Raw genomic sequence first — 13546 nt, 5'->3', positions numbered from 1 at the left:
TTTCACAAGTCGTTTTACCTCTCTGAACCTCAGTTTCCACATCTGTACATTAAGAGTAACTAGGACACTTACTTTTAGGGTTATTGTGAGACCTAAATGAGAAAATGCTTTTAAAATTCCTAACAGAACAACTGCAATATAAGGGGATTCAACCAATGCTGCTTCCCATTCTCCCATCCCTATCTCTACTCATCTCTTGTACTCCACAGCATACAGCCCCAGTGTGTGGCACTGGAGTAGTTCTCAGTAAATGTTTCACAGCCTGGGCAACATAGTGAGACCCTATCTCTAAAAAAAAAAAAAAAATTGCCGGGCATAGGAAGGAGGATCGCTTGAGACTAGGAGGTCAAGGCTACAGTGAGCCATGATTGCGCCACTCCAGCCTGGACAATGGAATGAGATGTTCAATCTCAATCTCTCTCTCTCTCTGTCTCTGAATGAGATGCTCAATCTCTCTCTCTCTCTCTCTCTCTCTGTCTTTCTCTCTCTCTCTCTTGCTTTCTCTCTCTCTGTATATGTTATCTATATAAATATTCTGGAAGTCTTAAACAATAGTACATCCTGAAGAAAAGTCCAGATTGCCTATGAAACAGTAGAAGATGGCCTATTTAAAATAATAGAAAATCTGAAAAGTGTATTGCAGAAAGTGTACTGAAAGGATGGGCACTGAACAAGTTTACATGCAGGGGATAGAACCAGGGAAGGCTTTCCACTGGAGAAAAAAGAAGGATCTTTAGACTAGGTTTTGAATGATGAGGGGAACTGTTGCTGGCAGGGAGAAGAGAGGATCCCAGGTGGAAAGATGCCCTGGATAAAAACCTGGTGGTGGGATGTAACAAGACAAACGTTAGCTAAAATGTACTGAGCTTTTGTTATGTACAACGCATGGTGTTAAACGATTTTTTCACACACTTCATCTCATTGAAGCTTCACCACAATCCTTTAAGGTAGGCATTGTTATTGATTTTATATTCCAGGTAAGGAAATTGAGGCACAGAGAGGTTGGATAATTTGTCTCATGCCTCACAGGCTGAAAATGATAGAGCTTGAAGTCAAAATCTGATTTATCTGACTCAAGAACCCAGGAACTAAATGTTGGAAGCTGTAATAATAATTATTGATGATAACAACTGTCACTACTATTGTGGGATGGTCAGCTCCCACCATGAATTCAATTAAAAAAAGACTGAGTACCTACCATTATTATGTATTATTACCTAAGTGGGGAACAGTTGTGGCCCGAAACTTTGGAAATTCTCCTTTGTTGCTGGGCATCCAGGGAATTCCCTTTGGTTTCCCCTAATTATTTTGCAAAGCTTTGTGCTTGGTTCATATGATCATGGCTCCAATTTTCGATTCCCTATCAGCATATGACATGAGTTGTCATTGTTTAATCACAAGCTGCACTTGTGATGAATGTTGGATAATCAGAACAAAAGCACAGGAAAAATAACTAGAGCGAACCAAAGGGAAGTGGCTCACAGCCTTTAACAAGAGACTGTGAAGGTTTCTAGGACTCAGTCCCTGAAGCTCTGACAATGTATTTTGATCCTTGTCTGAATGCAAATGAATGAGTCCATCAAATCATAGGCAGCTTGTCACAGTGCAGGTTATTTAGCTAGTTAATTAAAAGTCTGAGTGAGCTGGTACCTCTCTGCACTGGGTTCTGAAGATAACCAAACCTGTGTTCTGACCAGGCAAGTTAATTTAAAATAAGTGACCTCAATTGGGTAATGGCTGCGAGTTCAAATTCAAGAATCGCTATAATTAGTCCCAGATGGATCTTAATTGTTCTTTCAGGAAATAGAGTGGGGATGGGGTAAAGAGAAATGTCCAAGCCCAAAGTAAAGGTTATTAGCTATAGCTATACCTTTCAAAAGCAGGGGGCGCTGATTGGGGCAGGCATAGTTAATGTTGTATAACAAGAATTTCATTGCTGTCTTTCCAAATGCATCCCTTTAGATGTGGTACATAAAATAGGTCTAGGTCTTTAGGAAATAAGGATTAAAATTTAGTGCTTTTAACCATGTGGTCTTAGGCAAGTTATTTAACCTTCTTATGTCTGTTTCTCATCTATGTAATGAAAAAAAAAAACCCACTCTTAGTCCTATCTACTTCAGAGGATGAAGAAGCTACTTCAGGAAAAATCTTTGAAAAATATGGAAAGCTCTACAAGGCAGTGTTTACTCTTGCTTTAGTTCAGGAAAGTTTCCTAATAAAACATTTTTGTTTTTAAAGTATAAGCCTGCTTTAGGTGTGGCCTCTCATTTTTTCTTTAGACTCCGTGATAAACCAGGTACCTTCTGAGCTACACCTCTCAGAAAGTGAAAGGATTATAGTGGGCAATATGTTTAGCACAATACCTGTATGGTGGTACGTGATATTCTAATTTCTTAGATGCACCCACAGAACTGAACACGATTTTGGCTTTCTAAGCTTTTGGAGGAAATCAGAGAGCACACAAATTTAGCATTGTTTGTTATGAAATCAGATCCTTCTCCATTTGTGTTAATATAGATCTTTTACTTGAAATTACCTGCTGGCACAGACTGTGGTGCTGCGAGGTTAGTGTAAGCCATGGTGAGAGAAGGATGGGTTTAGCCTCACTCATTTTTTTTTAATGAATGCTTGGGTTTCCTTTCAGTGTTCTGATACATTCTAATTGTCCGTATCTTTCCAAGCCCTGAAGCCAAAAGTAATAAGAATTTGTACAATGGTAAAAATGAAATAAGTTACAAAAAATCATAACGCAATGTGGAGCCTTGGAAGACCAAGAATTTGACCATCTGGGGATACACAAAATGACCACATTTGAAATTGCTTTTTTGTTTCCCCTTAATTCCACCTTTTAAAGGAAATTGTATTCTGATGCCCATCTGAGTTCCCTGTAATGGAATATAAGCATTGAAAACAGACATTTACAACCTGTGCCTACTGACAGTAATAACAACTGTTTATCCATCAACCCTAACTAAAACTCATTAAAGGAGCTTGCTTTTAAATCAGAGTCTGCATTCTATCTTGTTAGATGAGCCAAGCAAATAATGGAGTTGTATTTCCCAGAATTGCATTGCTATCTAAGGTCTGTGCCCTTTGCTGAAAAGAGCTTGAGGTCATAATGAACAAATAAACAAACAAAAAGCTCTGGCTCCCTGTTGTTTTTCATCGCTGGGAAACACCCATCCGTGGCAGGGAGCAGCAGAGAACACAGCTTTGCTAGGGTTTTGCAAAGGTTTAAGTCATCATAGGGTGAATAGTCATTTCTACAAGTCTCCCTAGAGAGCTCCTGCTGTGTGTGTACCGTGAGTAAAATCCACAAAGTGGAATGCATATAGGACTGAGAGTTAGTCTCCAAATGATAAACATCAGGACTTTTTTCCTAAAACAAGTCAAGAAGCATATTTATTTAATTCAACAAATATTTATTTAGTACTTACTAAGCTCCAAGCTGTTTTAGATGCAAGGGGTATGACAGTTAACAAAACACAAAACACCCTGCCCTCATGAAGCCTTATATTCTGGTTCATTTGTCTAGTGCACTTCCCCCTGTGAATTCCTATATAATCTCTACTTCTCATCTTTCCCTCAGTCTACTAATTATTTACCCAACTTAGGGCACATGTCTTACCATCCCAATTAAATGATATGTCTTTGAGGACAGGGCTCCAGTTTCATACTTCTTAGAGTGCACATCATCCAGTACAGTTGCCTGTATGCAGATATACAATTAATGTTTGTGGATAATGAGAAAGGAAAGGACTCCAAAAACTGGGAAGAAGGGTGGGAAGTAATATTAACTTTAAATTTTATCTCTCTGGTTTAGTATGCTTTCATGTGAATAGGCTATCTTAATCTAAATGCTAATTACAGACAGTTGGGTGGGATGTGAAATGGGGGTAAGAAGGCAGGTGACCTATTCAGGTGAACCCATATATAGATGCTTATTTGGTCCATGTAATGGCATAGTCTTGGGTGGTGTGGCACCAAGAGTGTGAGCACTGGAGTAAAATCTGTGTTTAAATCCTTGCTCTTTCACTCACTAGTTGTGTGGCCATTATGTATGTCAGTCTCTCTCAGCACCCCAGTTTCTTCACTGTAAAATGAAGGGAGGTGGTTTAATGCCTAAGCAGAATCGTCTCATTTCAGATACCATGTTAGTGTACTGGCAGACGGAAAATGTCTGTTTCTTGAGGATCCAAAGGTCATGATGAAAGGTCAAGTTGTGTTCTGGCCAGTATAACCCGTATTCTTATTAGTATCAGGTTTTACTGTTCTGTCTTATGACATCTGAGTCAGTTTCAATTTTTGAATCAGCACTTCTTACTAGCGTTCATGCTGACACATAAGTGGGGATTGTCATACTTATGCAATTATACATTTCCATCCCTTTCCAAACCAGATGATCTTCAATGGGTCCTTGGAAACTTAGTTCAACCAATCCTGAGGAGAAAGGCCTTCCTGATCTGAGTCAAGCTGAGTTAGGATGTTTCTTCTACATTTCCATTAAGATCTGTGTTCCCCTCTGCCACTGCTCTTATCACACTAGACTATGATCATCTGTTTACTTGGCTGCTTCCCTATGAACTATGAGTTTCTTGAGGCCTGGAACTATGTCTTATTGGTTTTTCACTTTTTCTTTACTAGTCCTTATCCAGGACTACAGAGATAGGCAGTGTGATTAGTCATGATGTCTTGCTTTTTATGGAGAGCTTGAAATTGTTTCCTTAGATTTCAGAGGACCTACTGGAAAGGATTGTGCATAATAGCCTTCTGTTTTCTTTTTCATGCGGTTGAGAAGATAAAACCACTCACTTGTTCCTTCTACTCTAAATATTATTCCTATTTATGTAGATTCTATGAAGAAGATACTTGAGTAGTAGGTCCTTTTTAGTTTCTACAAAGAACCTAGTCTGAGATGGTTCTCTTTATGCAAAAATATCTCTGTTAGATATGTTGGATTCTGTTGTAATGACAGAACCATCCCCATGAAACATCCTAGTCTTCCTCTGGAGTACAGTAAAGGGAAATTCCTATCTGACAACTTTTAAGCTAAGCTCTGAACAAAGCAAATAATATGGAACACATAAAAACAGTTTGTAGACTGAACAGCTTTGTCTATATTTGGAGAAACCATACCATTTACTATTGGCTCATAAATCCTCCAGTACCTAGACCATTATTAACATTGCTCTTTTTCATTAAAAAATATAGTTTGATGGGGCCAGGCATGGTGGCTCACGCCTGTAATCCCAGCACTTTGGGAGGCCGAGGCAGGCGGATCACGAGGTCAGGAGTTCGACACTAGCCTGACCAGTATGGTAAAACCCCGTCTCTACTAAAAATACAAAAAATTAGCCCGGCGTGGTGGCACATGCCTGTAATCCCAGCTACTCGGGAGGCTGAGGCAGGAGAATTGCTTGAACCCGGGAGGCGAAGGTTCCAGTGAGCCAAGATCACACCACTGCACTCCAGCCTGAGCTACAGAGCAAGACTCTGTCTCAATAAATAAATAAATAAATAAAATATAGTTTGATGGCATGAAATTGTCACGCATGCATTCTTGACATGGGTAACAAAGAGTATGACCTGTAGGTCACTGAGTGCTAAGAACCATAGCAGGAAGTGGCTAGGATTTCATGTTTATTGTCTTTGTGGGGTTTAAGATTACTGGCTGTAGTTTAGCAAGCAGTGTTGTGGTGGAGGCTGCAGTTGACAGAGTCGTTGGGGAAGCATACCAGTGGGAAGTTTTCTCAAGTGAAAATCGTTCTCTGACTTAGTTGCAGTAATTTACCCTCAATGCTTTATTTTCAACAGGTTGGGTGTGAGATGTAGCCACACCCAATTCTCACAATCTGGGAAGGAAACACGGACAACATTCCTCCTCCCTGATGAAAGAAAATGCAGGGCTGGGCCTGCTGCCACCTTTTATTGATGGGGTTAATGCAGAAGAGCTAATGGCTCTGTTGGGAGATGCACTTTTCTGCCACTGCTTGCAACTCTCTGAGTGGCTTGGTGGCGGTTGCCATGGACACCAAATGGTGAAGGGGCTTCGGTCAGAGTTTGAAGGATTATGTTGTGCTTGAGTAGGTAAGACTGAAATTAAGTTAATGTGTGCAAAAATAAGGTGTTTTTTTCCCCTTTGCACCTTTGAGAAAACAGCAACAAAGTATTCTGTCAAACAACAATTGATTTTATGTTGGTCAAAGGAAGCAGGAGGAACAATTTGTTGAGTAGGAAGTTTTCAAGTTAAGCACAAGTAGTAGTTTGAAATAGGTCAAGAGGACTGAAAAGGACCCTCAGAGCTGTTCAAAAGATAGTGATGGCAAGGTACTTAAAAGTGCCCACTAAGAAGCTTTCTACAGTACCCTCGTTGGCTACCTAGTCCATTGTTTCAGTGTCTCTAGATCCTTATCTCTTAATCCAAGACAGAGTATTACTGAGGTCACACTCTATTTTGGTTTTTCTCTTATTTACCTCGCAAATGTGTATGTCTTTTAGATAGCATAATCCCCAGGTTCTGATTTGCAAATCCGTTCACCTAGTTATCCTTTTTCTGTGTCCCCATTCTTAAGCTCAGCAGGCGCATTCTGGCCCAATGCTGAACTCTGAAAGGGATCCCATTCTTCCTTTCTCTGTCCCCACTAATTATCCAGTTATACCTAGAGCTATGATTTCTGCTATTGAGATAATTAAAGGCATGAAAACAATTTCAGCTAAACCACTTGAGCTTGAATATACTATTCTTCTTTTATGAACAATTAATCCCACTACGGAAGGCAAGACCTTTTTGGCCTACAACATCATAATCAAAGCACTTGCCACTCTCTTGGTGGTATTCACAAATCTAAACCTTTATGGTGATCATAGTGAAGTAACGTTATACTGTCAAAGACAAACAGGAAGGCTTCTAATGTCCTGGGAGCATGTCCTAGCCACTTTCACAGGTGGCACAAAGGTTCTTCACTGAACTCTTCTCTGACTCCACCAGATCAGTTTCCCTCTCTTGAGACTTACCTCAGATGATAGAAAGAGCTTTTAAATGCCTTTTGAGTCTCAAGCTCAGTGACCACACATTCCTTTCCTTATTCATTTTCTCCCCCTTAAGAAATGAGGTGCAGTGATTCTAATTATAATACCTTGTATTTGTAGACTTGCCCTCTCTGAGGATCTTAGAATACCTTAGAGAAATTGCCTGATTCATCCTAATGTCATCCCAGTAAGGCAAGAAAGGATTTTTATAGTTTATGGCTGAAGTTCCTGAGATGATGAAAGGTGAGGTGGCTGTGCAAGGTCACACAATGATCTTGAAATAGATAGAACTCAGCCAGATTGCTAGTCGTTGGCTTAATACTGGAGTCCTTTAGGAAATATTTGATCAGTTGCTATTCTTTTTCAGAGTAGGGTGGTGGTGGTTTGTATTTGGGAGGCTACATATAATATATATTTCTAAATATATATATGTAATAGTGGTATCTGGCTATGAATCTCTTCCACTTTGGCTCCACCCCTAGTGATGTAACACTAATTGTCACCAATCTCCTCAAGCCCCCACCTGGGCCCATTGAGTGATGCCCCTCACTTGTCAATTTGTCATAACCTTTGAGCAGAGATAGTTTGACCTTGCCAAATCTGGACTGAAGTAAAGCTGTCCCTGAAAGGATGAGCTTAATTTGACTGGACGAGCCAGGTGGTGGCTTGGTAACAATGACATCAAACTAGTCCATGGCTGATTCCCACATTTGGTCTCATCAAAGTCCAGAACTTTGTACGGATCAATTAATGTCCCTTGCCCTTCCATGTTAGTGCAGTGAAGAACTTGAGTCTGCACATTTTATTTTATTTTTTGTTATTGCTCATTTACATGCTTGATGCCTCTCAGTAGAGGAGCTCAAGAGTGTAAATTATTTTAAACATAAGGGTCCTGTGGCAATGTGAGCTTGAACAATAACTAGCTTTTGTGTTGCTTTTGTAAACTATGGTTCTTGCAGCCCTCACAAAACTGTTTGTTACAGCATCTGTTAGAATCTAGAACAAGACTCCTGTAATCATGCAGCTGTGTGATGAACACTCTAATTGCTACATTTTTGTTGCTCTTAATCTGGGAAAATTTCCTAATAAAGCTGGATGATGATTTTAAAAATTTCATTAATGTTTACAAGCTAGTAATTCTAACTCATAGGACTTAATCTCTCAGTGTCTGCAAAGGCTTAACTGAGTGTTCACAGTGTAAGTCATATGAAGTAAGAGGTATTAGGGCTCTTTCTTCCTCTGCCCACTAAAAACATATTCACTGCCTATGGAGGGATGAAATGGCTATATATGGCTAGTGTTTCCTTTCCTTTTTTTTAAAGTATGAATTGGAGATCTCACTTGACTTAAGTGATGGGATTAACTCAAAATAAAGAGGATATTTGCATCAGTTTTATTGTTCTATTTGAATTGGTCCATATTTTTATAATTTTGGAATAAGATACCAGCCTTAATGCTAAAATGCGGCATTAAAGGGTGGGAGAAAAGGCCTTGATTTAATACATCTGTATTGCAATCTACTATATGTTGGATCTGAGTAGTAGGATAACAGTGAATATAGATATAATGAGGAACTTATGATAGGCTTATGATAAACAAACAAATCTCAGTTAATCAGAATCCAATTACCAGAAGCCCTTAATTAATAGGGATTTTCCCTAGGTATTTCCTAGAAGGGCTGAGGCCATATTTATTTATATATACATATGTGGCACAGCTTTGATCAACCAGAAACTCTTTTTAATGCAGACGTTTGTTGTTCTGTGTTCTAAGGATAGAGGTAAATGATAAACTTCCAGGCTGTGCCCTGGCCTTAAGATACATTATCTCAATCTTCCTATCATCTCTGTCTCCAAGTCTCAGCAAAGCTCACTGATGTTGAGGTGTGTAAGAGTGTCAGTCAGCTAAGAAATCAATGATGGTCACCAGCCTGGAAACCTGAGAAAGCAGGAAAGTTGATTCACACATTTTTAGATATTTATTATATTCTGACTTCTAGAATTATTGCATTGACATATCGCCCTACTAGATTGCAAGCTTCTTCAGCAGGGAAGACATGTCCTTTTCTCCTCACCCTAGCATTGAGTGTGGCAAAATGGGTTGGGAATCAATCAATATTTCTTGAACTGGATTTCCTACCTTGTTTTTCACAGCTGTGGGAACCATAGCCTGATGGAACTGGAAAAGACCATCATATTCCATAGATTCATTTTACAGTTCAGGAAATGGAGATGTAGAGAGATTGATTTTTTGAACTCATACAGCTTGGGGCTAGAATCCAGCTCTCCTGCCTCAAGGCTTCTGTACTCTGCTTTACAAAACCCCAAGGTGTCTTCAGTCATCCCAACGACTCTCAAAAAGTTCCCTAATGAAAATTAATTTGAATTTGTGTTTATTTTAAAAATAAAACCCCCCAAACCTGACAAGAAATAATCAAACATTTATCAGATTTTTGTTTAATGGGAGGAGGGAACTGTTGATTAAGTAGAACATTTCCTTTTTGACCCTAAAGCTTCTATCATCTGAAATAAACAAGAGTCTTGCTGTTTCAAAGTAATGTTATTGAAAAAGTTTTTTTTTTCTCTTTATTTTCCCAGAGGGGATTTGCTTCTAAACAGTCACAAAGCCAGTCTAGCCAGTCTAGTGTGAGGTATGACCAGAGAATTGTGCCATCTTTTTTAATAAGCTGAAGATAAAATTCCTAAATATAGAATATTGATGTCTGCTACTAACTCCTAGGATAAATATCTTTGCATTTATAGAACAAGTTTATTTAAGGCTGTCAGTGAGTGTCAAAGTCACCTAACATATGTTGTTGAAGGCTTTTACCACAAGTAGAGTCTCGCTTGCTTAGGGCCTAAAGATACTAGGTTAGACTTAAGAAACCATGTTTCCAATGAACATCTTTAAGAAATCCAACCATAGGTTTTGCTTTTGGGACACCATTCTGTAGTTTGGGTTGCATTATTGCTTCAAGATATTAATTCAGGTAGCCCAATAAGTGTTAAGTAATAGCATCAAATTGCCATGTCATTAGATTAAGAAATAGTGACCACGATTTGGACACCATGATTGGTTAGGTAACAAAAAGTGTCCTTGAAAAGGAAGAATAAGGCAACCAACTTACAGAGAGACACCTGGAATGGCTGGAGGCAGGGGAAAAAAGGGAACCACCTACTAAAATACAGTAAGAGATGAAGGAAGGCCAGTGGGTTGTTTGGCCATGTATTGATCTACTCTGGAAGCTCGCCATTAGGAAATTGGGAAGCAAGGAAAGCAAAGAGGAATGGGATCTCCTCTTTTACATATAGTACTTAATATGCACTTGGGAGAAGAAGATGGAGAGATATTATAGGTACTAAGAACACTTTCACCTTACATTTCATGATTGATTCAATCGTATGCAAAAATAAGTTCTAGGCTTTTCTAATATCTTTCATTCTATCAGCATTTACATACCTAGTTTTTGTTATATTATTTTGCATTTGTCAAGATGCTGCTCTCTGACTTGAATCGCATTGCTAAGGGCTATTACAAATACTTAAAAAAGAAAGAAAGAACTTTTGTTTCTCCCAATAGTGCCTAGTATAGTATTCTGAATATAAGCCCTTGTGTGACGCTTAACCTCACAACAGTTGGCTGGCTCTTGTCTGGGACAGTTTCCATGTAAATTTCAATGCCCATTCTGGAGGTCTGATCCCATTTGCCTTCCTTCTTCTATATGAATTACCTCCTGAATATTCAGTGATTTCTTAGGTAGCTAAGCAATTACTCATCTACTCCAAGAGATCCCTTTCTGTATACTCCTTGTTTCTCTCATGGGGGCATGACCTCAGATTGACCTCTGAAATCCAGGTAATAACATCTGTCATATCCTTTACTTGTGTTTGTCTTTTGAAGATGCTGAAAGACTTCTCAGCCAGCCCACACTAGACATAGGCTGGTAAAGAAATGACATCCTGATTTGCTTTAGGGTGGCTCCAGTATAGCTGTACTGTCTGTCATCTAGTACCCAACCCACCATAAAATTTGAATGTCATGGAGGACACAGAGACCTAAGTGAAGTATAGAGCCACTACTATTTAGTGGCGGAAGACTGTTTAACTCTCTGCTTACAACCATGTCTCTGAAAGCAAGTCTCTAGAAGAACTTTAGAATCCTAAGTATAGAAAATGTTTTAGATAAACTCTAGCATTGAAGAGTCTGATCAGACTTAGTGCTTCAGGGTAAGTTGTGGCAGTAGTTGTGGAGAAGAGGAAGAAAAATTTGAGTAATTTACTTCTGTATCCCTGTCCCTCCAAATTTATAATTTATATTAACCATGGCTCCTGACCATCTTCTTTTTCAGACTTCGGATAGGATGAAAGGGAATACTATGGAATAAGGCAAAAGATATGAGGGTATCAAGAAGTCTGATGACTTCCGGTTGAATCTATTCTGATTGGAAAATTCTGTCAGATGCGAGGCCAGTCAGAGCAGTGATTAACAGTACCTGGTGTCAACTTCCCTGGTTCAAGTTCCATCTCTACCAATTATTGGTTGCATGACTTCTAAGTCTCAATTTCCTCATTTGTAAAATGGAAATAATATTTCCATCTACCTACAGGGATAATATGAGGATTAACTCATATGAGATATATAAGCATACACATATATACACATACATTGCTTAAAATAATATCTGAAACATAGTAAGCATTCAATACATATATATTTGTTATTAAAAATGCCCAGTTAGCATATTGGTTCAAGGTTTTAGTGCCTTTAATTATTTTAGGTGATGCTGAAAAATCTAGTTAATCCTCAAATTGTTCTTGAGCTTATCAATCAATATGTGTTACCCAGTGTTATATCACAGGAAAAAAAAAACCAGAGAGGTTTTCTAACATGCTAAACTTATATTAGTGAGACCTGAGCATAGCCCAACTCTCAGACTTTGCTCTCATGATATGACCTTAGATTGAACTGATACCTTGGGGAAGCCACAAGGACATTGTTCTTCAGCAATAGTTCTCAAATAACTGATTTTCATGAACACAGAAACTCACCACTCATGAGCAAATAGCTATGGTTATCAGTTACTGAGTACCTACTGAGTGCCAAGCACTGTACCAAGTGCTTTCCACATAGAATCTTATTTGATCCTCACAACAACCACGAAAGGAAGGTAGTGGAACAGTCTTTTAAGCTGAGAAAAATGAGCCCCAAAGAAATTGTCACCTCCCCTGTTGTCACACAACAAGGAAATCAGGGAGCTAAAATTAGAAATCATGTCTATTTGAGTCCCAAGCTTGTGTTTACTCAACTATATGGCAAACAAAATATTCCAAAAAGAAAGAATGCTAACCCAAACTGTCTTTTGGATTGGTAAGTGAGCTTAATGTTCTACATGGAACATTGAGAGTAAGGGCTGGAATAAAAAGGGACCAACAAAGTGGAGAGGAACTGGGCAGTACCACTATCTGCTGAGTGAGGGTGAGGCAGGGAGCAAGCATGTAGCTATAACATTTTTGCTTCACTTGTCCTAGGTCCAGCTGTAGGCAACAGTGCTCTAGTGACCACAATTTCTAGACATATTTTGAAGTGTGAGCACTCTCCCCTTTGAGTTACAGTCTCATAATTTAGAAGGGCCCCTAATGTTGTTCATCTTGCTTACACTGTTTTATTTAGGAAACTGACTTACTTTCATTTCTTAAAACTACCAAATTCAAAGTGACAGCCGGGGTTTCTGAAATGAAATCTACCTGAAGGATTGACCTGCTTCAGGAATCTGTCCTTAAGAAATGCTACCTTCACATCATCCATGATGAAGTGATTTTAGCCTGGAATATCTCAAGGGGAAATTATACATTATATAATATTTTAGGTAGAACATTGAAACATATTGGTTTGGGCCCCACTAGATTAGCACATGCTATAATTTAGGCAGAGGATATGCTGAGACTTGTCTGTAAATTTTCTATGGAATAAAGAGAAACATGGTTAAGACTGAAGGAGGAATGTGTAAATCTTTTTAAGGGGACAGCCTTTTAGATATATAATGAATAGACAAATTAGAAAATACTATTTATTAAATAAGTCTATTTATTAAATAAGTCTTCTATAAGGATATTTACTTGTCAACACACAGGATTAATTTGGAATATTTGTATATTCTTGAAAACAATGTTAAGACATATCTAGGTCTGACTTTTCACTAATTCAGTATGGCTTCACCTTCATATAGCCTGAACTGGTGAGATTTTACTGTCTTCATTTCCTCTCTGTTTTATAATGAGTCATTTCTAATACTGACTCTCTCTCTAGTCTAGTTAAGCTCATTTGCTCTGGTACTGTCCTTAGGCATGCAGAACAGTTGGTCAGTGCCCTTTTAATGATAACTCTTTATACTTGAGAAGGTGATTAAACTACCTCTTGGCTCTCTTTCACCAGGCTAAACAATCCCAACTCATTTAGCCTTTCCTCACAGGCCCCATTTTCTAACACTTTAATCATATTTTTGCTGCTCTTCTTTGGA

The 13546-nt window shown here is 38.7% G+C and overlaps 1 protein-coding gene across 2 annotated transcripts in view; it reads right to left on the bottom strand.

The window, feature by feature from the left end:
* Positions 1-13546, bottom strand: part of GRIA3 (glutamate ionotropic receptor AMPA type subunit 3) — a 306638-nt gene that overhangs the window by 146847 nt on the left and 146245 nt on the right. The window lies entirely within an intron of this gene.

This window comes from Homo sapiens, chromosome X (genome assembly GCF_000001405.40).
Source record: "Homo sapiens chromosome X, GRCh38.p14 Primary Assembly".
Taxonomy (NCBI): domain Eukaryota; kingdom Metazoa; phylum Chordata; class Mammalia; order Primates; family Hominidae; genus Homo; species Homo sapiens.
Note: the sequence above shows the minus strand (reverse complement) of the source record. Positions and strands in the feature narration are given on the sequence as shown.